Source organism: Homo sapiens, chromosome 5 (genome assembly GCF_000001405.40).
Source record: "Homo sapiens chromosome 5, GRCh38.p14 Primary Assembly".
Lineage (NCBI taxonomy): Eukaryota > Metazoa > Chordata > Mammalia > Primates > Hominidae > Homo > Homo sapiens.
In genome coordinates this window covers 34842049-34869912 of record NC_000005.10, presented here as the reverse complement: position 1 = coordinate 34869912, position 27864 = coordinate 34842049, and the positions used below count along the sequence as shown (strand labels likewise).

At 41.0% G+C, this 27864-nt stretch overlaps 1 protein-coding gene and 1 long non-coding RNA gene across 23 annotated transcripts in view, besides 1 other annotated feature; one reads left to right on the top strand and one right to left on the bottom strand.

Moving 5' to 3' along the window:
* Positions 1 to 27864, bottom strand: part of TTC23L (tetratricopeptide repeat domain 23 like) — an 86519-nt gene that overhangs the window by 55770 nt on the left and 2885 nt on the right. For 14 of the 22 annotated variants that reach the window (NM_001386170.1, XM_047416824.1, XM_017009120.3 and 11 more), the window contains exons 3-8: positions 24240 to 24426; positions 19605 to 19728; positions 6859 to 7015; positions 5351 to 5476; positions 2844 to 3021; positions 900 to 1008 (exon numbers count right to left, since the gene is read on the bottom strand). In NM_001386170.1, coding sequence (NP_001373099.1) covers positions 900 to 1008; positions 2844 to 3021; positions 5351 to 5476; positions 6859 to 7015; positions 19605 to 19728; positions 24240 to 24426 — 881 coding nt within the window. Of the gene's footprint in view, positions 1 to 63; positions 2708 to 2843; positions 3022 to 5350; positions 5477 to 6858; positions 7016 to 19604; positions 19729 to 24239; positions 24427 to 27864 lie in introns of those variants that run through there. The other 8 variants (NR_169875.1, NR_169876.1, XM_017009124.3 and 5 more) reach the window with 3 other exon arrangements.
* Positions 453 to 27755, top strand: LOC124900959 (uncharacterized). Its single transcript, XR_007058729.1, has 2 exons — positions 453 to 1033; positions 26807 to 27755. It is a non-coding gene; the product is annotated as an uncharacterized LOC124900959 (long non-coding RNA).
* Positions 2126 to 3325: an enhancer, noted in NCBI's record as "CDK7 strongly-dependent group 2 enhancer chr5:34866693-34867892 (GRCh37/hg19 assembly coordinates)". NCBI's record gives its function as "activates an origin of replication core promoter dependent on BRD2, BRD4, P300/CBP, MED14 and CDK7 cofactors, with strong dependence on CDK7, by STARR-seq in HCT116 cells {active_cell/tissue: HCT116}" and the evidence as "EXISTENCE:reporter gene assay evidence [ECO:0000049][PMID:35650434]".

Below are 27864 nucleotides of genomic sequence, written 5' to 3'. Positions count from 1 at the left end.
AACAAAGAATCAGGAAGTCTTCAATGGATGTTTATGCTTAAAAAATAATTAAAAGATCAAAACTTTTGCAAACTGAAAAAAAATGTTTATTTAATGACATGGGGAATACAAGCATTGAAAAAAGTAGGATGGAAAGCTTTCTCTATAATTCTGTCCCTCTCTCTAACTGGAAAATAACATACACAAAAAGGTTACTTTTATAAGCAAAGAAAATAGACAGTTTTAAAATGATCAAATTATATTCTTCATGAAGCCTAAATTCCTCCTGACAGGCCACTGAATCCATCAGTGTCCATTAATCTGATCAAGCCAGCACAGAATGATACATTGTCCTCCCTCATTGGTTCATTTGTGTCTCTCCCAAAGCCACCCACTTTCAAAAAGATGACCTTGCCAGACAAAGAACTATTGTTGAAGCATAAATTAATCAGTTGGCTTTCTCTGCAACCCCCAGTATCTAACTATTGAATATGGGTCAAGAAAATTCTGCTAACAAACATTCTCTCTTGTCAGCCAGAGGAAAAGAGTCAAGGAGACTGAAAGTGGAGGAGGTAAAGCTCTACCCATTTATCACTGGATGTCCTTATCAACCGATACTGCACAGGCCACATTCACAGTATGTGTGATATCTATTAGTTAAGAAGGTGAATCTCACTGAGATTCAAAATAAATAGAGGATGTAGAAATCAGATGATTTATTTGTTACTGACATTCCAACGAATGTGGGGGTATATTATCAGGTTTAAATTAATGTGTAATTGATTTTGTATGAGACTGTGACCCACCTAATTTTTCCATTACAGGAATAAATAGCTAATTAGAATCTTAGATAGGCTGTTTGCCAATGTGCTTCCCTCATGTGACTGGGAAATAACTTCAAGGCTACCTCTTTTACCTACCCCTGTGCTGGGCCTCTCCAGACATGGCATAAGCTTTGGCCAGTAACGCACTCATTTCTGCAGTTTTGGGGCTGACTTCAGTGAACAAAGAAACACAGACAGAATGAGCCTGGAATAAAGAAAATCATGACAAGGTAAGCACCCAATGACAGTGTTCACTGTGGATTTAGATGAGAGGTGAGTTTGAGTCCCAGCTCTGCCACTTCCTAGCTATGAGTCTTGTGCAAGTAATTTCACCTTCATTCGTAGAAGGAATATATAATTCCCACTGATTAGGGTTTGGGAAGGATTAAGTGAGATGGTATATGCAAAGCACAGGGCACGGTGCTCATCACGTGGTAAGTTCTCAATAAATGTTGGCTAGTATAATTTTTATTAGATTTCATAGCAAAAATAAAGTCATAACCTTAGCTCAGTCTCACTGGACTGAACTCCAGTCTTGAAGGCAGTCTTGTAAATGTAAATCAGGGATAATAAGAATAGTATTTGTTATAAAAAGTTGTTGTAAATATTAAATAAATTAATGGTTAATATATGTAAAGTGGTTAGAACACCACCCAGCATATAGTAAGCACTAAAAAAGTGTTAGATTTTATATTATTTGTGCTAAAATGGAAGGAGTAACACTTAGAAAAGAGAAAGAGAAAAACATTGAGTCCACACCCACCAGCCACAAAAGAACCACCTGTGCTTAATATTTCATAGGCCAAATACTGTGAGGTGTTTCAAAGAGCTGAGGGGTTATCAGAGAAGACTTTGGAGCCAAGACACAGAGCAGAGTTGTTATGAATACAGGCTGTAGGGTCAGATGTGGAGTTCAAATCCCTGCTTTACTATTTCTTAGCTATACAATGTCAGCTGAGTTAGCTATAACTCTGTGCGTCAGTTTTCTCATCCTTAAAATGAGATAAAATAATAATGGTACCTACTTCATAGAGCTATTGTACAGATTAAATGAATCGATATATCCTCTAGGGAACGTAGAAAAAGCATTCCATACATTTTAACTCTTATCTTTTGGTGCTTTTGGGAAACACTGCTATTTATTGTTTTATTCATTCTGATCTGACCACTGCTTTGAGAAAGTCTTGAACACAAAAACCAGACTGGCTTTCTCTGTAAGCAGTGGACTCCCTGCCTTCACAGCAGCATTCTCTGACATCTCTCCACTGTGTGATGTTTATAATTGTGGACTGTCAGATTGTTTGCAATGCCTTTTCTTCAGAGTCTGTTTTCATGTATACTGTTAGATTGCATTGCACCTTTTCTATGATACAGGATATCCAGTATTTTGATGTTTGTCACTGTGGGAGATACCTGAAGCCACAGGCAGCATTCTCCTTCGGAGAGAGAAAAGGTGAATTTAGCAGCTTCAAGTACATGATACATAAAAGTACCCTAATATAATAGACTCACCATTCCTTCCTATGTTTTGTTTTGTTTTCCCCCGGGCATTTGTCAAGTTAGTTACCTCCAAGTGAAACACCCTTTTGTTAGTTTAACCTTAGGTTTGGAAATATAATCAGCTAGACTAGTTTAAAGTACAAATGACAGCATTACCCTAAAATACCATGATTTTTCATTTAAAAAGGCCTTTTGTTTTTGCTGAAGATTTAAGTTCGGTTGTCCCTGTATCTTTTTTCCTTGGAGTAGACTCACATTTTGCTTCTTTTTTACAGCACCAACAGAGATAAGAGGGGGAGGGGGAAGTGCTGTCTGCACAGCCAATGACACAGCACATTCGCCCACCTGAGTCAGTGTTCTCTGGCCTGGTCATTTAAGGTTTGATCAAGGGCTCTTAGGTGGATCTGGAGGAAAGTCAGGGTTAAAACAGAATCAATTCCAGCCCTTGTTCTTCTGAGAAGCCCATGCTTCCCTGGCCCTGAGAACCAAGCCTGGGGCCAAACAAGGCAACCCAGCCTGGGCTCTGGCCAACCCACTGACCTGCTGCAAGTACTGGATGGCCTGGTTGTGGTTCCTCCTCAGCTGCTCTATCTGAGCAGCTTCCTCGTACAGGCTGATCAGATCTGACGTCCTATCACCCTTGGCAGCAATAACATCGCCAATTGCCTTTTCAAAGTATGCCAGAGCTAGGTTCAGTCTGTGGATGGCCAAGGAGGCTCTGCAAGAAAAGGGATGAAAATAGAAAGTCACAGAGAGGCCACTTACTTTGCAGACACAAAAGGAACTGATTCCAAGAATTAAAGAATTTGGCCTTCACAGGCCCATCATCTTGGTAGCTGGCTCAAAAATCTAGCCTTGCTGTAAATAAACTCCAATTATCCTGCATTTTACCCATCAGATTTCATTGACGACCACTCATTAAACCCATTACTATGTCGTGCTGTTGTCTAATTTTTTTTAAAAAGCAAATGGAAAAATGGCTTCCAGGAATTCACAAGATGGGATAATTCACCCATAAACATAGACTTTCTAAAATCAAAATAAAATTTTATTACCTCTGATTCCCTCTCTTTCAGGCCAAAGAAAGTTTTTGCTTTGTTTTGTTCCATTTAATTTGGCGAATTCCTCCTCAGTTAAAAATGAGGATAGAAAAAAAAATGTAAATATTCCCCCAAGAGAGTGATTAAATAAATTATAGCATATCATACAATAAAATACCTTAGAGACATTAAAAGTCATGTTTTCTTTTTAGACAGATATGGGAAGATATTAAAAATGTGCTAAAAGGAAAAAGATATAAAGCTGCACTTAGACTGTGATCCACATAGAGATATAGTTATTGATATCCATATATATCTGTTCAAAATGTTCATAGCAGTTACGTCTGTGTGGTGGTATCACAATCGGCTTATTCGTTCTTCATACCTGTCTGTATTTTCAAAATTTTCCACAACAAAGTTGGGAATATAATTTTTTTAAATGAGGATAAAACAATATCTCATTGAGGTTTATCTTTCCAGAGACAGCAAGGTAAAATGAGATCATGGGTAGTTCAAAGCTGGTTCTGGTAATTATGAGCTTTCTCAAACTCTATAAGCCTACATTTCCTTCTAAATAAAACAATTGAGTTTATACTGCAAGTTTGTTGTGAAGAATAATATTAAGTATAAAATCACCTAACATATAGTAGATATACAATCAATATTCCTTCCTCCTGACTCCAATATTTGTATTCCTAAGTTGAATTAAAAATATATGTGTAAGCCAGGTGTGGTGGTGTCTTGCCTGTGGTCTCAGCTACTGAGGAGGCTGAGCCCAGGAGTTCAAGGTTTCAGTGAGTTCTGATTGCACCCTGCACTCCAGCCTGAGTGGCAGAATGAAAAACTATCTAAATGAAAATAATAGAAATACCTACCCTCATTGGCTGTCATGTGGACTAAGTAAAATAAATTATGTAAAGCACTTAGAACAGTGTCTAGTATGTAGTTATACTTAGTAGGCACTCTAACACTTAGAACAGGACATGCATAAAAAAGGTATTCAATAAATACTGGAGAATGGATGAACAAAATGAGCACCAGAGTTTTTCTGAAAAAAGAATAAGACTATCTTTCACATAAGGCAGAAAAACTTTAGGCCCTATGTGACAGGAGTAGACATTCACCAGACTGTAATTTATTGCCCTGTGGACTTAAGTCAATAGTTTGATTTAGTTCTGGACATTCCAACATCTCCCCATTTCCCATCTGACTTCTAGATTCATGGTTGTTTAGAGGACGCAGACATGACGCATGTATTTCATTTACTTACTATTCAGTCATATACCCTACTGTGCCAAGTGCTTACAGTTTTGGAAACAGATTGCTTTCAAGGATGTAAAGATATTTGAAAAATCTAGGGAACAGTAAACTCTTTATTCTTTTTCTTCTAATAATCTGATGGGCCCACATTCATTTCTAAATATTCTGATTCTCAGAGGATCCCTAAGTCAACAGCAAGACAGTTAAATCTTGTTCTGGCTTAAACCAATTCCATGAACTTTGTTTTCATATGGAACAGAACTTTCCTTAAAAATGTACATGCTGTGCATGGCTTTCACAGCTTCCAGTTAATTGTCTTCATTAAGTGTTCCTTCATCTAAAATGTCACATGTCATGACAAAAATAGGTGGCAATTCAGAGAAAAATACAATATTAGAGTGAGTGTGAGAGGCAAGTATAAGGAAGACTAAGAGTTAGTGAGTTCAGATCACAGATCCAATATTTACAAGCTATGTTATCTTGGACAATTTGTTTAACCTCAGCTTCAGTCTCCTTGACCACCCCCCTTTAATAAAATAATAATCATACCAACTACCTCAATGGCTGTTGTGAGGATTAAATGGGGCAGTACACAAAATGCCCAGTGTATCCATTTGGTAAATATGAGCCTCTTTTATTATCATTTGAGTTTCTGGGTTTTTTTGCTCTAAATATTTTTCTCCCTTATATCATGTAATTCCAAGCCTCATTCATAAAAGCCTCAGCTTCTCCAAGCCCAGATCTTACCTGCCCAAAGCAAGTGTTAGGTCGTTCTCAGAGACTTGTAATTCACAAACACCTCCTTTATATAATTCTTTCAGCTCCTTCATGTTTCTCTCTGCCTTCTGCAGGTTGAAATAGGCTTCTCTGCCAGTGAAATAGTCAAGGAAAATGGCAAGCACTCAAACTAACATCCACTGCACAGGGACAGCAGGTGATAAGGAAACAAAAGGGGCTCTTGGAAAAGTGAAGCAATATTAAAAATGGGTACTTAACTATGTTCTTTATTTTCCATGTATTATGTTGTCAAGAAGCAAGAATTCTTTAGAAAAGGAACAGGGGCTTGGGTTTCCTGTGGTGGTTGCCTGAATCCAAGACTAGAGTAGGTAGGCAGTGTTTGCAGGAGTGAGCGGAAACTGTAAATTACACTCGATTTCCTTTAGAGGCATCTACTGCATGACAATAGTTATTCATTTTTCCCAAGCCTGTTCCTGTGAATGGTAAAAGAGAGGAACTAATTACGCTGAAAGGAACTTTCTGGGTCATTTAGAAAGTCCAAGCAAAGCAGGTTTTGGGCCAAAGGCAAACAGCAGAAAAGCAAAAATCCCCTTAATTCCCAAACATTCTTCTATTTCCCACATTTTCAATAGCCCCCTGCTAAGGGTATAACAGAGGAAGGCCACATATCAGATTTTGCAAGTTGAACATTAGGACCAAAAAAGTAGAGAGGGGGATGTGTAGAGAGGAGACTGGGGACACATAGGCTCAAAGAGTGCTCATGATGATGCGTGAACATCAAATGCCCTTAACATCTTTCCAGTGGAGATGGTACAACAGGCTGTCAGAATCCCCAGTTCTGAGGAAAGGCACATATAACAGTACCCCTCTGGGGATTTATAGAACTACTTGTTTTGTCTATTTTGCTTGGCCTCCAGCCTCATGGGCAGTATCCACAAGAGCATTTCAAAAAACTAAAATGATCGAGAATCAGTTAAATCAGTGGTTTTGGGCTGCAAATTACAATCTCTGGAGGGCTTTTAAAAATTTCAATGAACAGATGTACCTCAGAGCCTCTCAGTCAAAATCTTTGGGGCAGGAACAGACAGCAGAAATTCTTAAAGCTCCCCAGGGGATTACAATGTGCAGCCTAGTTTGCCAAATTGTGCTTTAAATTATCACCCATTCTCTCCATCACTACACCACCACCACCACCACCACCCTCATCCTCATTGCTAACACTGATTTTCTTGGGTGCTCAATGAAGAGCAGAACAGACTCAGAAAACCTTCAGCTGGCTAGGTAATATGTGACTAGTGAAATCTCTTCCGTGGCTCAACTCAGAGCTTATATGAATAGACATAGGAAGAGAATACACACCCTTCTAGATGGAGAGGAGAGGCTCATGGAGGGCCTTGATGTTGGAACAGATCTACAAGGCCTTGGTTCCATCTCCCACCCTCCTGTATGAGATGACCCATCTGGCATGTGTGGCCTGTGGCCCCGAACACTAAACGCAGCTAGGAATGGAAGGATATCGGTTCTGCAGGAGCCAGGCCACGCCCAGAGTGTAGTACAGCTTGACCAGAGCTTCCAGGATTTCCTCTTTCTCCTTATTTGAGGTCGTATTTGCCTTCCAGGTCAACAGTGTATTCTTGGCTGATGTAGCATGTTTCTTGGCCTGAACTGGGAGGCCTGGGGGAGTTAGAGGGTGAGGAGCAAGAAGACAGACATTAAAAAGGCATGCTTCAGTCAAAAACATTCCTGGGAGGGGATAAAGTGGGCAGTGCAGTTGTCGTATGGTCTATAGCATTGGTTCCTAAATCTGGCTGTGAATCAGAATTATTGGAAATGCTTGTAAAGAATACAGGTTCCTGGGCCCCACTCAAGACCTACTGAGTGGGGAATCTCTAGAGAATTGGGGTCCAGGAATCTCTAATTTTAATCTGCACCACAAGTGGTTCTTATTCAGCCCTCTCAACATTAGCCTTCGTACCTCAGTTTGGAACTCAAGACAGAGACAGGAATGGAAGGTGAGTATCCTATTCCTGATTCTACTACTAATGCCATGTGACCTTTTCAACCCACAACGCTTCTCCATCCTCCAACTGTTGAACAACAATAATAATTATAGAAGCTGACCCTTACCAAACACACAGAGATAGTCCAGGACCAAAGTAGGTTATGCCATAGAATGCTGTGCATTGAGTGTTCTGGAAAAGGCATTCTATAAATACAAGGGCTTATGAATGCAATTACTTCCATCTGGGGATTTTTTTTTTCAATCTAAGATGAATCTGGTGATACTAACTGGTCACACAACACACATAAAAAGAAAGCAATTGCTAAATGCAGGGAGGCCCCAAACTAAGAAGACAAAGGCAAGGCCAGACCCCAGCTAGACAGAACTGGTGGGGTTTTTCCCCTTGTTTTTTCTTTTCTTTTCTTTTTAAAGATTTAAAAATACAAACCTGTGTCCAGGGCTGACTTTCCATAGACTGCAGTGAGGGAGCTGCTCTGCTACATACAAAACCCTAACCCAGAAGCAGGTTATCTAATGATTTAGCACCAGGTTCCCCTCAAATATGCATTGCATGAAGGGTGAAAGGGCATCCCCCTTTCCAGCCACATCTCATTTGTCCCCTTGTTTTTTGCTGGTGTTCCTGGGCACTTACTCAAGCTGCTATTTGTCCAGTCAACAGAGGTAGACTTGGGAAGACTGAAAACAACAGGTAGGGTTCACTTTCAGCCCTCTCTCTGCAGGTACCTAGGGGCTGGTAAACACATTCACCCCTGCCAAGTAGGCCACTGTGCCCCTAATCCTCACTTCACACCACCAGCCCCAGTCCTACTCAGCAAGCTGCCTTTGGCTCCTGAAGCCTAGTTTCACAGAATGGGTGCAAGTCAATGGCAATAAGGATAAATTTAAAAGTTTGTCTTTGATACCTGCAGCCCTCATGTGTTCTAAGTGCACCTCCTGAATGAGTTATAGCAATGAAAGGGAACATGGTCTTCCCTGGGAGAGTTCTAAAGGTGACCCAGGTCCCTTCTCCCTTTTGCAACCATTATATAAGCAGCAGTCGTCAAAATAAAGTTCAGTTCTTTTGTGACTTCTGACCAAAGCAAGAACCATAAAAAAGCATTTCAAATGCACCTTTCCAAATTCACAAGATTATGTCTTCCCTCTTTCCAAAGAGCTGAGACAAAAGTACAATGCTTGATCCATGCCCCCCAAATAGGATGATGAAGTTCAGATTGTGCAAGGACACTATAAAGGTCAGCAAACTGGCAAAGTAATCCAGGTTTACCAGAAGAAATACAGCATCTGGCTGGGCGTGGTGGCTCACGCCTGTAATCCCAGCACTTTGGGAGGCCAAGGTGGGCGAATCACAAGGTCAGGAGATTGAGACTACCCTGGCCAACATGGTGAAACCCCATCTCTACTAAAAATACAAAAATTAGTTGGGCATGGTGGTGTGCACCTGAAGTCCCAGCTACTAGAGAGGCTGAGGCAGGGGAATCACTTGAACCTGGGAGGCAGAGGCTGCAGTGAGCTGAGATCGCACCACTGCACTCCAGCCTGGCGACAGAGTGAGACTGTTTCAAAAAAAAAAGGGCATCTATACTGACAGGGTGCAGTGGGAAAAGGCTAACGGCACAACTATCCATGTGGGCATTGACCCCAACAAGGCAGCTATCACTAGGCTAAAACTGGAAAAGAACAGAAAAAGATCCTTGAGCAGAAAGCCAAATCTCACCTAGTAGGAAAGAAAAATAGTAGATATGAGGAAGAAACATTCGAGAAGATGTAGGGGGAAAGTATCCCTATATACACCTTTCATTAAAAACTGCAAAAATAAAAATAAATAAAAGTGATCCAGAGACAAGAAGTCTCTGCAGAATACTCAGAAATATCTGTTCCATAGGTTTCAACTAAAGAGAAAAATGGACTCTGGAGAGGGCTGTGTCCTAAGTTAAGGGTGGCCTTCAAATTGCACTGTGCATTATAAGCACCCTATTAAAATGCAGATTCCTGTCCCACACTTCCAGTAGTTACAGCTCACAAGTTCTGGAATAAGAACCAAGAATACACATTTAAAACAAGCAACCATGTTTCAGGTGGTAACCAAGGATTCCCATTTGTAAGAACTAATCTTGGTAATAATGCAAGGTTGTCTGAGGACCACACTTGGAGAAATACATAGTTAGTAAAATCTTTATCGAAGAAGTAGGACTCATCTTGTTTTTCAAGAGTGGATAGGATTTTGACTGATACAAGGAGGGATTTCCCCTTGGATTAAATAGCTTGAGGCCTTGAAGACAGAACAAGCAAGTGTGTGTATGTATGTGTGCTGCACTGGGGGATGAGGTTGGGTGGATACAGGATGGTTAGGGAAGGTAGAAAGATGACTGAAGGGAAACTCTGAATTGAAAAACGTATAAGCAGCCCGGGCACAGTGGCTCACGCCTGTAATCCCAGCACTTTGGGAGGCCGAGGCGGGCGGATCACGAGGTCAGGAGATCAAGACCATCCTGGCTAACACAGTGAAACCCTGTCTCTACTAAAAAAAAATACAAAAAATTAGCCAGGCGTGGTGGCGGGCGCCTGTAGTCCCAGCTACTCTGGAGGTTGAGGCAGGAAAATGGCATGAACCTGGGTGGCAGAGCTTGCAGTGAGCCGAGATCACGCTACTGCACTCCAGCCTGGACAACAGAGTGAGATTCCGTCTCAAAAAAAAAAAAAAAAAAAAAGAAGAAGAAAAGAAAAGAAAAGAAAAAAAAGAAAAACGTATAAGCTATGCATTGAATATGTAAAAAATCTTGGATGATGTCTTAATTTGTATGTCAGGTATAAAATACCTGAGACCAGGTAATTTATAAAGAACAGAAATTTCTCACAGTTCTGGAGGCTGAAAAGTCTAAGATGAAGACGCCAGCTTCTTGTGAGGGACCTCTTGCTGCATCCACATATGATGAAAAACGGAAGAGAAAAAGAACCAAACACCACAAAAAGCCTCTTTTATAACGGCCTTAATCCCATTCATGAGGGAGGGGCCCTCATAGCCTAATCACCTCTGAAAGGCCCCACCTCTTGATGCTATCACAGTGGCAACACCTGAACTTTGGAGTGGACATGCTCGAACCATAGCAGATGCCCAGATGAGGAGGGGGAATTAGATCTGTTATGTAACAGGGAGTCTTCACAGGTCTGGAGGAAGAAGGCAGCATCACTAGTTAGGTCACAGAAAACTCTGCTTCGGATACTGGAAGCCGAGATGGCTACTTTAGACCAAGAAAACAAAGTAGAAAACTGAGAAAGTGTTTTGATCAAGCAGGTCATTTTCCACAAGTAGGTGGGCCGTTAGGAGTGTGTCATTAAGGACTATAAAAACCAAATTCAGACAGTTCCCTGGGTCCTTAGGAAGAAGAAAGGTGAAACTGCAGGAGCTACTAAAAACCACCCCAAATGAGCGGACACTCCTTCTGGGCTTGTGAATGTCAAATAAAACAACTACCACTCAAGAAAGTTGTTCTGAGGCAGTCCCTGAGGCTTTTGAAAGCCTGCACCCTCCCTGCAAAATATCCCATGCTGGTTGTGCAATTCCCAGGAGGAATACTTTTCCTCTCTGCTCAGCAGCTAATCAATCATAGAGTTCCTTGCTTTCACACGACTAGGCCCCACATTGTGGGCCTTCTGATGGAAAAGCTGAGCCACAAGGGGCTTAAGCAAACTGAACAAGGATCTTGATTTAAAACAATTTATTATATTTTAAGCCCTAAAGGGAAAAAACTTCTTTCACCTTCCCAGAATCCTCTCTGATCTCCAAAGTGGAGTGCATGAACTCTACAGGTATGCAAGATGCCGTAAGAGTGTGAGGGGGAAATCAAAACTTCTCTATTTTTTTTTTATCTGAAGCCTTTTTCTATTTTTATTACTATTTATAATATTACATAACACATCAATACTGTTGTACACAATCTATTTAAAATACATGTATAAAAAGTAATTGATTGTTTGCTTAAGTTTCTTTTAGTGATAAGGGAGCTGTCTCTTGAGTTTGGAGACCACTGGCCTAGACAAATGTTTTCCAACCTTTTCAAGTATGAAAGAGCTCTTTTTATATTTTAAAAAAACCACAAGGCTTCCTCCACTTGTGATAATTATTTTCATAGCACATACTACTTGAAAAAATTCATAATGACAAAAGTACTATGAATTCAGTATCAGCAACACTTTGAAATGAATTTACATTTACTAAGTCTAAGTACGTCCTCTTTCATGTAAAAACTCTCTGTATATAAGATTTATTATTGTATATATCTATGAAGGATGCTTCATAGATCAAGTTACTTTTCTGTATCTGCCCTCCCAAGCCAAGGATACCACCCTTCTACCTGCACTGACAGTGCAGCAGTTTTCAAGGTACAAGGCAGAGGGGCAGCAAGGCCTGCTTCTGGAGCCCAAGATTCAGAAATTACAAGGAAATATTGATGAGATGGCAAAATGAGTCCAAAGATTGTCCAACAAACATATCAATCATTTTGCTTTAGTTTGGGTTGGGATTCTATCATCGATTCTGCTACACTGACTCAGGCCAGAGAAAATCTGCTCAGAGCTACCCAATCTTTGGAGGTTGTTATTGTCACCAGAAAGCAGTCACCTTTGATCAGCATCTATATTTAAGCAGTTACTGTGGCACGGTAATTAAAAGAGCAGGGTCTAGAGCCAGACTTTCCAGGTATAAATCCTTGTTTAGTCATTATGACTTGAACATCCTTATGACTTGAAAAAGTTACTTTATCTGTGCCTGTTTATTCACCTACAAAATGGTAATGAAAATATATCCTGTAGAGTTGTCGCAAGGATTAATTTAATATAAAAAAAGGATTAAATAGTACCTGAATGAAGTGAGTTTGAAGATATATTAGCCATTATTATTATTATTACCAAGGTCCATTTCTCTTATTGAGTAATTTACTATATTTGTACTTATTTTCAACATTTTTCATAGCACTGTTTACAGAATCTTTGTAAAAGGCTTGCATTCTCAAATGCAGACTCACTTCAGGTAGGTATCAGGCTTCTTGTGGGTCAGATTACCCGGTTTTTATCATTCCCTGTTGTTTCTGTACCAGTTTTTGTGTCTTTGTTTTAACCAACTAGACAAAGAAAGCATGACTTAGGCTTCTTTTTCTGGATTTTGCAACATTTGTAACAGAGCCCCAGTACCTGGAAGATTCCCAGTAATAATAGGCTGACTAAAGTACTGTTTCATTAATAAGCAGAATTTCAGAAAACTGCTTGTCCACGTTACCATATTTTCCTTCCTGAACACTTGAAAACAGTTCACCACTAGTTACCAAACTACCATGGTGATCTCCGACTGCCCTTTCTCAGCTGCTGGATCACTAGGCTCATTAGGATCATCACCAGGGCAGTGGGCCATAGAGGTCCACTTCTAGTGTCACTTGTTCTGTTTAACAAGCGAACCAACTTTTATACACTCTGCTTTGCAAAAGCCTCACATTCTCTTGTGAATCCCATTCCATCAATTACTCCATTAAAAACATCTTTAAACCCTCTCTTCTAACTGGCTCCTTCCTCTTTGCCTAAAATCTTCCTGCATCTCCTTCTCTTGTAAAATCATCTTCACTAGCCTCCGGTCCCTATTGCTTCCCTTCATCCCTGGGATCTGGCTTCTCCTCCAACCACTATGGGGAAACTGTTCTTCTGAGGTCCCCTCAAAAACATCCTAATAAATGAATCCAACTGCAGTTTTTCAGTCCGCATTTCACTGCAGCATCAGATACCCTTACCTGTTTGGCTCCCAAGGCACTGCACCAACCTGCTTCTCCTTTATAAACCTTCTGTAATTGATTCTTTGCTAACTCTTTATCAAGGTCCTTTGTTCTCTACCATTAATGTGTCCATTTTCCAAATCTTTCTGTTTCTTCCACTTCTCTCTTTCCCTCTTGGAAGTTTTATCAACTCCTATTACTTCAACCTTGGCTTCCATGCTTATAATTTACCATTTCCCCTCTTTAGTTCTGGTCTCAAACATTCCTCCATGCTTATGCCTTTCCTTCTCTCCTCCCAAGTTCTGGTCCCAAATTTCCAGCACAAGTGAAAATGTATTACAGGTTGAGTATCCCTTATCCAAAATGCTTGGGACCAGAAGTGTTTCAGATTTCAGATTTTGTTCTGGATGGGGGGAGGTTTTTGGATTATTTGCAGATAACCAGTTGAACATCTCTGAAATCTGAAAATCTGAAATCCAAAATGTTCCAGTGAGCATTTCCTTTAAGCGTCACATCAGCATTCAAAAAGTTTTAGATTTTGGAACATTTTGGATTTCAGATTTTCAGATTAGCGATTCTCAACTTGTGGATTCTCTATTGCAATTCAAAATCTATACATCAAAAACTGGACTCAGCATTCCTCTCCCAGTCCACTTCCTTTCTGACCTACTTCTCTCTGAAAATGGCAATTTCAGGGGCCCAAAACATCATGGTCATCTTTGGGCCTCACTGTCACTCAACCCCAAATCGAACACCATGTCCTGCCTACTCCTTCTTAATGGTCTCTGTCTTTTAATAATCATTTTTGAATAGGTAACACATTTCTATCGTTGAAAAGTTAAAAATTATAAGAAAAAGTAAACACTGAGAGGTCTCACTTCCAATCTTGTTCCCTTTGTCCCCAACCACCCTCTAAGTAACTTTTTTTGTTTCATTCTTGTGTACCCTTTGGTGTTTTTTATATAAAAATAAGCCTACATTCTCATTTCTTACTCCCTCTTACACAAAAAGAGGCGTATTATAAACACCATACTGCATTGTGCATTCTCTTTTCCCTAAAGAGATCTTTCCCTAGAAGGATATAGAGATTCCTCATGTTCTTTTTAAAACTCCATATATCCCACTGTGTGTATGTACTAGTTTCCTATTGATGGATACTTGCTTGTTTCCAATCTTTTCCTATCATGAATGATGCTGCAAAGAATAATCTTGTCCATGTTATCAGTGTGTATTTAGGAAAGATTCCCAGAAGTGGGTTTCTGGTTTAAAAATAAGTGTATCTGTCGTTCGTAGACTCTTGAATCCTTACCTTCTCACCCATTCTCTCTGGCAGCCTAGTTTTAGACCTAGATGACTGAGATGGCTTCCATTCCATCACTGCTAGATTAACCCTGCCAAAAGTACACTTTGATATTTTTATCATCCTGCTGGAAAATCTCCACTAGTGCTCTTTGCCTATCAAATAAATTACAAATTCCTTAGCCTGTATTTAAAACCACACCATGGCCTGCCCAATGTACCCTTCTCCTTTCCAGGTTTATCTTACCAGTCCTAACCTTAGCCTGCCCAATGTACCCTTCTCCTTTCCAGGTTCATCTTACCAGTCCTAACCTTAGCCTGCCCAATGTACCCTTCTCCTTTCCAGGTTCATCTTACCAGTCCTAACCTTAGCCAGACAAGGCTGCTTACTGCTGTCTCCACAGACGTGGCACTTTCCTTCCTTATGCCTTGGCCCACACCTTCCTCTTCATCAGAAATGCCCACCCCTTCTTCCACCTACCCAAACCCTACTCCTTCTTTACAACCCTTGAATCCACCTCCCCCTTGAATCTATCATCTCTGCCAGAAATGATTTCACTCAACCTTCCCGAAGCCCATTATTTAAATCAATTACATGGCATTTACCTTACACTGCCTTCCCTCATAGTTATGTCCCCAGGTAGTTCACCTTCCACACTAAGTTGTAAAACCTTTGAGGGCTTCTTTATGTTACATTTCCCAAAGTGTTCATCATGGCATTTCACATATACAAGTTTCTCACTACTCACTGAATGACTGTTTATTGAGAGAAATTAGCCTTTTGGCTGCTGGAAAAGGCTCAAAGTGAAATGAGCAAAGCAGGGCTGATGACTATAAAACATGAATGGGTGCAGTGAGGCATGAACGCACACAGACACACACATCCGCCTACACAGGAGGCCAGCTTATATATTCTGTCCACTTTAAAGCAGTTAGAGGATGAATGACAACAACACTGAGTGGAGCTGAGCAAGCACTTCATCTCTCTTGAAGATCTGCCATTTTTCAAAGCCTTACTTATTCCATGGACCAGACACTAAAAAAGCTGAAGTGAAGAAACTGAAATAAAAGCTTAAGTGAAGAAAGCAAAGAGGCACTGGGCTATTCTCAAAGAAAGCTTACAGTCACAACCTATTCTAAAAAAAAATCTAGGCTGGTATCAGAAAATCTGGGTTCAAGTCTAGGCTCCACTATACCATGTGGACACTTCATCTGACCAGCAAGCTGCCTTTCCCATCTAGGAAAAACAAACAAAAAAGTCTCTCGTACAGGAAAACTTGTGTCTCCTCCAACTTATTGCCCCAACGTAGTTCTCTATTCATGCAGCAGGAAAAACTGTCAGTTAGGGAGAAAAGGATTTATCACCATGTTTTGTGGTATAACCTGTTCACTTATCTTGACTTAACTTGGAATCTAATTGGAAAAGTAAAACTCAAAGGCAGTTTGTGGCTCATTATGGAAGGGATTGATTTCAGAAGATCTAGGCCAACCTCCTTCTAGACCTACCCTAGTCATCTTCAAGGCAAGACAGAGAGGGCAGCATCTGGCCTTGCCTAGTTTCAGAGAAATCTCCCTCTCAAATGCCTTCCTCTTCAGTTCAAGTTCATCACCTCAAGTTTGAATTCCAGTGAAAAACCCTTAGCTAGTCTCTGTGAATCTGGGCTCTCCCAGGGCCCAAGGAGTGTACTTGTCTCTACCAAACCAAGTTGCAATGACCTACCAACCGCCAAATCCATGGGTCTCTCCTCAGCCATTACCTTATTTGACCTTCCTCTACCATCTGAACTGTTGAAACCACTGTTGTACTTCTTTTCAAAACCCTCTCTCCTCCCTTGGCTTTGATGACACGGGTCCTCCTGAGTCTTCTATTTTCTTTGCTGGCCCCCCTTTACCCTACCCATTCTTAAAGCTCTTGCTCTCCAGTCTTCAGTCCTCTATTCTCTTCCCCTCTCTTTCTACACACTACTACAGAGTCTCGCTCTGTCGCCCAGGCTGGAGTGCAGTGGTGCGATCTCAGCTCACTGCCACCTCCACCTCCTGGTTCAAGCAATTCTCCTGCCTCAGCCTCCCGAGTAGCTAGGATTACAGGCACACACCACTACACTTGGCTAATTTTTGTATTTTTAGTAGAGACGGGGTTTCACCATGTTGACCAAGCTGGTCTCCAGCTCCTGACCTCAAGTGATCCACTCACCTCAGCCTCCCAAAGTGCTGGGATTACATGCATGAGTCACCACACCCAGCCACTACACACTACTTCTGATCAAGCTCATCCACTCCTATGGCCTCAACTTGCTCCTATGTGCTCATTTCTCCCAGACTAACATCTTTCCTGAGCTCTAGACCTGCTTTCAGAAACCAAACTCAGTAGCTTCTTCCCCCTTCCTCCATGATATGGTTTAGTTGTGTCCTCACCCAAATCTCACCAGGAATTGTGGCTCCCATAATCCCCACGTGTCATGGGAGGGTCCCAGTGGGAGGTAATTCAATCACAGGGGCAGGGTTTTCCCATGCTGTTCTGGTGATAGTGAATACATCTCATGAGATCTGATGGTTTTATAAACGGCAGTTCCTCTGCATGATCTCTTGCCAGCCGCCACGTTAGATGTGCCTTTGCTCCTCCTTGGCCTTCCATCATGATTGTGAGGCCTCACAAGCCACATGAAACTGTGAATCCATAAACCTCTTTTTCTTTATAAATTACCCAGTCTTGGGTATGTCTTTATTAGCAGCATGAAAACAGACTAATACACCCCACCACTTGGTCTTTCCCTTTCATTCTCGATTTAAGCTAATTGTCCAGGTCATGCCTACTTCAACTTCAATTCTTCCCTGTCCTTCCCACTCCATACTGAATGGGGCACTAAATGTCACCCATTCTACATTTTAGGTTATCTTTCTTCATTCCAACTGCCATACCCAATGCCCTCATCGACTCTCATCTGGGCAGGATAACGGCCTAACTGGTCTTTGCCTCTTCTTTCTCTACCCAGTCCAACCCATCCTGGAGTCTCTCATTTTATAACACAAGCTTGATTATTACCACCTCACTTCAAACCTTTTAATAACTCTCCACACTCCCTGATATCTGGGCCCAAATTACCTTTTCAGTCCCATTTCCAAACATGAGCTGTCTGTCCTAAGGTGTCTTCCGTCCTACCTTAACCCCCTGGGTCTACAGAGAAGCTACAATATTCTGTGTAACGAGTTTTATACAGAGTGCCCTCCTCTCACTTCCTATGCCTTAGATCAACATATATAAAGGACCAACTTTGTACTCTCTACTTCTCCCCTCAAAATCTACTTGGGGGCCAGGTGCCATGGCTCACGCCTGTAATCCCAGCACTTTGGGAGGCTGAGGTGGGAGGATCACTTGAGGCCAGGAATTTGAGATCGGCCTGGGCAACGTAGAAAGACCTTATCTCTACAAAAATAAAAATATAAAAAGTAAAAAAATCTACTTGATAAACCTATTCTCATTCTTCAAAGACAGGACAAATATCACTTTCTCTCGGCAGCCTTCCCTGACTTTCCTCAATGGCAATACCACTGAACTGCCTCCCCAGAATTTTGTTCCTACCTCTAGAATGGTACCTATCATAAGACCCCTGTGTGCTCCTAGAGCATAGGGACCACCAATATTCATTTATGTATCCCCAGCACTGACTGCAAGTGCCACCAGGCTTATAACAAGAACTCCATAAGTACTGAAGGAGTAAATCCCTAAATTTGACTCTTATCATGAAGGCAGTAAGTTTTTGAGAAAATCAGTCTGATGGGAATAGAGAGATTCCAAGTAAGGAAGCACGGAACGCCACTAGGGGAAGATCCTTCCTGGTCACTCTGAAATTTCATAGAGGTGGCTGCCTGCTCTGCCAGTACATAAGGACATTCTCCTCTCCCTAGCCATAGCACCTTCTTTCAGAACACAACACGTGTTCTTAAAGCATAAAAGGGCCTCGCTGTGCCCCCACTGTGACCCACAGCATCACTGTCCTAATGCTGTGATCTCAGCTACCTGTGATCTTGCCACATCAATAAATGAATCTAAAGTTGCATTAAAAATAAATGGGTGTAAAAGGGCCTATAGAGCCCTAAGAAGGAGAATATATTCTGAGATCAATAACTGAGAAGTGAACTCAATTTTAATTTTTTCAAAAGCTTTGCTGATATCCAGCCTCATTATGGCCCAAATATATTGCTTCCCTTTTCCTGTAGCCTTCAAATCACTTAAGCCCATAAAGCATTTAATTTGTATTACAAGTTAGGCCCCCCTTCAGACTGAGGTCCCAGAGGTACTTGAACAACCCCTAGGCCAGTGGCTCAGTTCATAAGCAGTAATATGCCAAACCATATTGTGTACAAAGGACTGTTCTAGATCAAATGAGACCAGTCCCGCCCTGAGGGAGCTTCTATGTCAGAGGAAGAAGCATTTAAAGCATATATGAGCACAGTACAATGAGTTCCACGGTGAAAATGTATGCAGACCACACAGGGGGACATGGCTGGTCAAGGAACAGAGAGTCTTGAGCTGGCTATGTCCCTGGTTCCTGAAATGCGCTCTCGCCTCAGTGTATCACCCAATATTTATTCAGCCTGTACTACAAACTTTCTACTCTCAAGGAACTTTCACTTGGGTTCAGTTTTAGCAAATAGATTCTTGTCTTATTCTCTTATACTAGAGTACCTTCCAGAAGTACCATTTCTCTAGGATGAGGGTCCTACCTTTCACTAAGCCAAACCTTCCAGGAACTTGAGTTCTACCTTTGGAATTCAAGTCCCATTATTGGGTCTGCCTCCCTGATGCTGAGTGTACATCCCTGCCTGTCCTTCCCCTACTGTCCTCCGGCTGGAACCCCTGATACTGCCCTTTGCCCACTGTGCTCCAGTGTCCTCATCCATAAACTGAGGTTACTAATAGTATCTCCCTCCAAGGAATATTGTGAGGACTAATGAGACCAGTTTGGCACATGCTAAATACTCAATAACTGTCATCATCATTATTATCTTTATTACTTAGATCCTTGCACACTGTCTCCCTCATCCATGGACTTTCCTTCCTGATAATGTGTGAGCTAGGGGCAAGAAGGGGCCCTCCTAGTCATGCCCATCCTCACTGAGGTTGTGTGGGTCAGTTCAGCCTTCAGAGGCTGGCCACCCAAACCCAGCTGGGAAAACCAAGTACCTCTCAGTGTCAAGTAGCCATAAGCTAGGTTGGCCAGAGCTCGTGCACATTTCCAGTGATGGTCCCCAAAAATAATCCGAGAAAGGATGACACATCGAATCAGCTCCTTGTTTGCTTGAGTATTCTGTAGAGTACAGAAGTGATTATACTTTTTGGAAAGGAAGAGAAGTCTCTACCCCATGGACTTATCACTGGAACACAGGACTGAATTCACCTGTCATCTTTTTTCTCTTCTCTTTCCTTCTCATCCTGTGTCTAATCCATCAGGTCTGGTTGGATCCACATTCCCCCTAAATCCTAAAACCAAGCTCTTCTCCTCATTTCTGCCATGAGTACCTAGTCCAGGCCACCCTCACCTTTGACCTGGCTGGCCACAGCAGCCCCTTCCAATTGCTTCCTCTCTGGCCCTCACAGTCTACTTTCTACATAATAGCCAGAGTGACTTCTTTTAACCTTTTATCATGAAAAACTTTATTAATATACAAAACAGACAGCATGAAAAATGAATATGTAGCGTGATCAGTGATCTACTCCTGGCCAATCTTGTTTCATATCTAGACCCCTCATCCACCCATCCTCACCTTAAATTGAAGCAAATCAGACATTCCATTGTTGCCTCTGTTAACATTTCGTAAATACCTCTAAAAGATATGGACTTAGAAACATACCACAAAATCATTATCTCACCAAAATATTAACAATAATTCCTTATCTAATCACAGAAATGGAATTTTTTAAATAATTTGTTTGACTGTCCACACTGTGAGATCAGTCTCTTTTCATCTATAGGTTACTTTTCCATCTCTAGTTCTTTTTCTTACGAATTATTTGAAAAAGCTGAGTCATTTGGTCTAGTATTTCCCACAGACATAAATTTTGATGACTGCGTCCTCATGGTGTCTCATCATGTCCCTCCATTCTCTGTTCTGCCTTTATATTAGTAGTTGGGTTTAGAAGTTTGGTTAATTTCAGCTTTGAATTCTTTTTTTTACAAAACGACTTCATGGCTACTGGTATGTTCTTCCAGCAGAATACATCTACTATCTGGTTGTTTTTTCTTTTTTTTCTCTGATATTAGGAAAACTACATGGAAAATTAACAAAAGATTATAAAATGCAAATATACTAATTCTATCATTCCTTCTTCATACATTAGCTGGAATAATTCTGTAAGGAGAATTTCTCCTCCTCCACTCTTTGGTTACCCAATAGTACAGTTCATGTTGGAAAGGCAGGACACATGGTTTATTCTTGCCCTTTACTAGCTTTCAGAAAAATGAATTGTTCACTAGCATCCTCTAATTGTGATCAAATAGCTTGTTATTATTATTAGAAACTTATGGATTTTAAAACGTATTTTATGTGTTTATATCTTAAGATATAAATTAGATCATGACTTTCCTGTTCAAAATCCTCCAACAGCTTCCCGCTTTTTCTTCTTAATATAATTCAAAGTCCTCACCATGGCTTCCAAGGCTCTGCATAATCTGACCCAATGCCAATCACCTCTGGACTTCATTTTCTACCACCCTTTCCTCCTACTCTGTCTGCTAGAACTACACTGACCAGCGGTTCCTGAACATCACCAGCTAACTTCCAATGTAGGGCTGTGCACGTGCTGCTCCCACTGCTTGGGACACTCTTCCATGTCATTCACTTTCTCATTTCATTTTCACTTTTCTTATCAACAGGCCTTTTTTGGCCACCTTATCTAAAATAGACACCACTTCATCACTCAATATCCCATTACCTATTTTACTTTTTCTTCATAGTACTTACTTCTATCTAATATTTTATTAGCTATTACTATTGTTTGTCTATTATCTCCCCAAATAGAAGATAAGTCCCTTGAGGACAGAAGTTTATTCCTCATGTTCGCTGTTATCTGCCCAGTACACACAGGTGTAACACATTCAATATTTGCTGAATGAATCATTTATTAGCAAGGTTAAAGATGGGTTGGGGAAAATAATCCTCTACCCCTATAGAAATGACAGGTAGAGCTCTCTAAGAAATCACCGAACTGTATCTTCAAGTCATATATTTCAGTGACTTTACAAACACAGCCATTATTGGCTGAACGAGTCGATAGGGTCAGGCATTTTTTTCCTGGTTAAGTGAAAATAGCACTTCAAGGAACCAAAAACCTAAAGTTTCAGCCCTGGTTCTAATGTTTGTTTACTGATTGTGTTGCTTTGGGGCAGGCCACTTTGATCTCAGCTTCCTTTTCTGAGGTTTGGAAACCTGTACCATCTACCTCATGGAGTTACTGTAAGGAAAAAAAAATAGTGTCCAAATGATTCAGTGTTGTTAGGTCAGATCTAAGTGTAACCCGTTTGAAGAATAATGTACAGGTAACCAAAGTAACCCATTTAAAGAGTAATGTTAGATAAGATACAGCAGTACCATAGGTTATTCCAAGGAATACACTCCTTACTGATTCCTATCTCCTACCCAACTTCATGTTTTACCTGCCCCCTGCTCAAATATACAGAAGCAAGCAATGGTAGAAGGAAACTTCCCCTGATGCTTCCAAAACATCCATTTAGTCAGCATTTTTTAGAGTTCACCATGGGCTGACCACAGCAAATACTAAGTTCTCTTTCGAGGAAGAAGCATCATGCCATGAAAAAATCACTGGAATGGGAGACCAAAGCTTTGGCTCTGGACATTGTATATTCATCCTCGAACTCCTTGACTTGGAGAAACCGGGACAACCAATACGGGCTCCAGATGTCATCCCAGCACTTCTGCTGCTGATGTGGCATCCCCTGCCCTTCAGGGCTAGGAGTACTAGGTTGGGTTTGATTTAAAAAAAAAAAAAAAAAACAGCGTTATTGAGCTATAACTGATATACAAAGAACTGCACCTGTTCACTTTATACAATTTGATGAGCTTGGGATTTGAGTCAGATTTCTCTCCTAAGATCTAAATCTTTGTCATTATCCAATCTGGCCAAGGAGTTTTTAAGCCTTGAAAACCCCCACTTACACTCCATGGCAGATGGTACTTGTGTGTTTTTAGAAATGATCCTTCTAGCCTGGATTTGTGAATCACTAATGGGTCCAGGCCAGGATGACTGTCCTTTGCAAGGTCCTTGGGTCATTTACAGAGATAAATTTACAAATATCCATCTAGAGAGATACTTCAGAGGCAAATGATAGAAAATGAAACCTCTCTAGATTACTTTTTTCCCCTTGGCTAGGAGGAGCCAGGAAGTCAAGGTACAAGCTCTTCTGTTGATAAATCATGCTCTGGAAGCAGGCTGGTGCCTGTGTTCTAATAATGAGAGTCGACGTCTTGCTGTCTCAGTCTCCTGGATTTTGAATACTCATGCTTACAAACCTGCTCTGAGATCTTTGACTCAAGTCTTTGACTTGCTCTTAGAAATGCATATTTGGAATCTTTGACCTCCACTGCTACCTTCTGTTTCTGGCCCTTTGGTTTGTTTATGATTCCACTGTAACCAAGGGCATCTTACCCATATCCTTTCCAGGCCAGAGCTTAGACCTGCCTGCCTACCTGTTCTCAACCTCCTGCCTTACTATCCCAGCCTTTTTGTTACCTAAGAGATAGCATCCTGAAACCTTCCAGGATGGATACACACACACACACACACACACACACACACACACACACACATACACACATATATGTATTTGTATATATACGTATATATGTATATGTGTGTGTATATATATGTGTGTGTATATATATATATATATATATATATTTTTTTTTTTTTTTTGAGACAGAGTCTAGCTGTTGTCGGCCCGGGCTGGAGTGCAATGGCATGATCTCAGCTCACTGCAACCTCTGCCTCCTGGGTTCCAGCAATTCTCCTGCCTCAGCCTCCCAAGTAGCTGGGATTACAGGCATGCGCCACCACGCCTGGCTAATTTTTGTATTTTTAGTAGAGATGGGGTTTCACCATGTTGGCCAGGCTGGTCTTGAACTCCTGACATCAGGTGATCTGCCCACCTTGGCCTCCCAAAGTGCTGGGATTACAGGTGTGAGCCACCACGCCCAGCTATTTTTTTTTTTAATTTTAAGTTAAAGGTAACAGCAACAAAAACAATCAAATGATAATTTTTAGGTTTTTCAAATTTTTACTTTATTTTCTTAGAGACACAGTCTCATTCTGTTACCCAGGCTGGAGTGCAGTTGCACAATCACGGGCTCCCTGTGGCCTCAATTTCCTGGGCACAAGCTGCTATCCTGTCTCAGCTTCCCAAGTAGATGGGACTACAGGCTCCCTCCACCATGCCTGGCTGATTTTTAATTTTTTTTGTAGAGACAGGGTCTCACTATGTTACTCACGCTGGCCTCAAGAGATCCTCCCGCCTCGGTTTTCCAAGGTGTTGGGATTACACGCATGAGCCACTGCACCTGGCCTAATTTTTAGTTTAAAGCTAGGACCAGAAATGCCCCAAGGAGGAACAGACAATGAACCATGCATGGAACCAGAAGGTGGGCTGGCTACCTAAGTAGGCTCTGCTTTGTTTTCTGCTACTTACAAAGAAATATGACACCTTCCTCTATTTCATATGCTTCAATCTGCATCGAAGGCAAAGCTTCTCTAAACAGGAACATATTTTTAAATGGAAACAAAATTTTAGTGAGTTTTTTGTTTTACCATTTTTTCCTTAATCAGCTGAGCTACTTTCTTCTGGGATTGGGCTAATTTCTCTTTGGGATGAGACATACAGTCTATGGCCTTCTCCTTCTCTTTAGCTTTAGTTTCCTCTTCACTCTCTCCACACCCACCAGTGGGATACAACTCATCTGTTTGCTGGTGAGCTGGGATCTCGGTTTGCTGTGACCTGTAGGTATGAGAGAGGCAAGGATTCAGGATTTAACCTTCTCCATCTCAAACAAGGTAAAATTGAAGGGCATAGCTCTCCCAACTAGGGGATAGGGACATGATTTCTAACATAAACCGGAAGGAATAAAGCTAGGCAGTAAACTCACGTCGCCCTCAAAGCCTAGCATTAAGACAGCAATGTGGTAGTTCAGAAGAAGCCGATTTATAGAGGTACAGCTCTGCTGCTTACTAATCACATGACCCTAACCAAGTTATTAATTTACTTCTCTGTAAAATGAGAATATGGATGCCTACTTGATGAGGTTATGGGATTAAATGAGATAATACTCATAAATCAGCACAGTGTGTGACATTCACTAAGTGTTCCTTTCATGTTAGCTATTAGTATATCATTAGCTCCAGGACAGGGCTTCTTCTTCTACAAATGAGGGTGTTGAACTGGAGGATCCCCAGGAATATCTGTGTTCTAAAATTCTGATCCAAGCAAGGAAAGAAAATGGATACAATGAAATAAGGGAAAGGAAACCAACATTTTGAGGCTGGACTTTGCATGTCTTCTCATATCTTAAAAGCTTCAACATGTGGTGGCCAAGAAAAGAGGACACGGGTCCCACCAGAGACAGGGAGGGAACCCCACGCTACATCAAGTGCAGATTCAGAGGAGAAATATCCCTAGTTGTGTTAAAAAGAACTATATCCTAACATCACCAGAAAAATCAATAAAGTGCTACAGAAGAAACAGAATTTTGAGATCTTAGGAGCAACGGTAGAAATTTTAAGTATAAATAAGTCTCCCAAAGGACTCATCTTTATACTCACAATAACTCAAAAGTTCAGCCACTGAGTAGTTTTTAAAATAAAATTTACTTTTCTTTTCCACTGATTGCTTAAATAGTGAATGTTCAATGTTTAAATAAAAAGAAAATTCAGAAAAGCACAAAAAGCTTAAAGAGTGAATGTTCAATGTTTAAATAAAAAAAAAATCAGAAAAGCACAAGAAGAAAATAACTGCCAAGTGTAACCTTTTTTTTTTTTTTTTTGCTGCTGCTGCTCACTCTTTGGGTCTGTGCCACCTTTAAGAGCTGTATGCCAACTGTAATCTTTTACACCAGGTTTGAAAAATGACATGCTAATATCCTTCTAGAGTTCTATTCTAATTAACTTATCAAGAGGCACGTGGGCAAACCAGGTTGTGTAGATAGGGAAGCAACATTTCTTGAGGCCCAAGCGCAGGCAGGCTTGCCTTCTGCCCACAGACGAGTGTGCTTTCAGTAGACAAGCTAATTTGATGGGACAGCCAGGGAAGGTTGGGGATGTGACCTGATCAGAAGACAGGTGATGAACTTCCTTTTCTCTGCCTGGTGAATTCCATACTCCTCCTTCGAGACACAACTCAGATGTCATCATTCCTGGAAGTCTTTCACTGGAGTAGCAATAAAGGCAGCCTCCAAAGGGCTTTCAAAAATTTCCCCCAAACTGCTAGTACACTGTGATTTTTTTTTATTGTTGTTTGATTTTTTTATTGTTGTTTCTTTGGTTTGTTTCTGAGTCTTCTTTGCCTGCTGGCAAAGTAAACTCCAATACGGCAGGGGCTGAGCCTCATTTGTTTCTGAAAACCTGATATCTGGCTCATAGTAAAAACAAATAATGGCCTGTTAAATGATGAATAAATGAATGAGAAAAGAATGTGCAGTCTTTAGAATGTTTGAAAAATATTGAGGAGAGAGGAAATCTGTGGCAAGAGATCATAAGTCGGCTGACTCTGGGCATGCTGCCTATGAGCTAGCCCTGTTCTGCAAGGGGCAGTTAAAAAAAAAAGAGATCATATCTCAATAGCAAATTTTGCTTAAGCTGCATATTTCACAGACCTAGAGCAGAAGTTAAATCTATTGGAGTCACCAGATTGCTAATTATGGATAGTAAAAATTATAAGCCCGAAATATTTTAAATTAAGCCTTGAATAACATTAAGGTAAGACCAAAGGTGGCAAGCTTCAACCTCAGGGACTTCAAAGGAATGAGAAACATTGAGGTCTTGACAAATGATTTGAGAATGTAAATCCCTGAACTAGCTTTGAACATCATGTTATAGAAGGTGAGAAAGATGGCTGGAGAATCCTGACCAGTCAGACATCTCAAAGGATGGTCAGAATAAAAAGAATAGGAGGTTGAATGGAAGGTCTGCCTTGCCAGGTTTATAATTGATTCCATATGTTACCATCATGAATAGGAATTCTGATTAGTAATGTTCGATATAAATTATCCGATTATTTCCCAGATATTTTACTGTGAACTTGACATTTTTATGAACTTCAATTTTTATAGTCATATAACCCTTAACCTTAAGATATTTTATGAATTTAAACTTATGCTATCCAGGCCAGGCACAGTGGCTCACACCTCTAATCCCAGCACTCTGGAAGGCCGAGGTGCATGGATCACTTGCGGTCAGGAGTTCGAGACCAGCCTGGCCAACATGGTGGAACCCTGTATCTCCTAAAAAATACCACAGTGAGACTGTAATCCCAGCTACTCAGGAGGCTGAGGCATGAGAATGGCTTGAACCTAGGAGGCGAAGGGTGCAGTGAGCTGAGATCACACCACTGCGCTCCAGCCTGGGTGACAGAGCAAGACTCTGTGCTGGGAGCCGAAGGCCCATGGGATGTGACCAACTCAGCATTCCACTGGAGACGATATGATCAAACAGCAAACTGTTTATCATGAATGCAGGATGTGAGCAAACTCACGAGTGCTCCTGCCGACAGAGGGTTTGCTGGAGGCAATCACTCCCTAGCGCTGAGGTTATCTACTGTGACATCTAGAGCCTGTTGTTTGAGGAATGAAGTCTTGCAAGCCTACTCTGGACTAAGCAGCTGACCCCTTCTTCCACCCCCCTTCTCACCATCTCTTTTGCCTAATAAATACAGAGGGCTGTGTACAGCTCAGGGCCTTCGTCCACTAGAGGCAAGGTGCCCCCTGACCCCTTCTTCCAAGTATACTCTTTTGTCTCTTGTCTTTTATTCCCACATTCACCCCTCCTTTGTTCAGTCCACCAGGGATTGTGGCAGGTTACATAGGGGCCCCCCAAACAGCAACAGAATCTGGTGCTCCACAACTCTGTCTCAAAAAAAAAAAAATGCTATCCAACTTGGTAACTACTAGCCACATGTGGCTATCAAGCACATGAAATATTGCTGGTCTGAATTAAGATGTGCTGTAAATGTAAAATATGTGCTGTATTTTAAAGAGTATAAAAAGATAAAATATTTCATTAATAATTTTAGCATATTTTGTATATATTGAAATAAAATATAGTATTGAAATTAAATTCATGTGTTTCATTTCACCTTTTAATATGGGTAGCAGAAAATTTTAAATTACATATGTGGTTTGCATTATATTTCTATTTGATGACACTGGTATAGAGCAATGGTTCC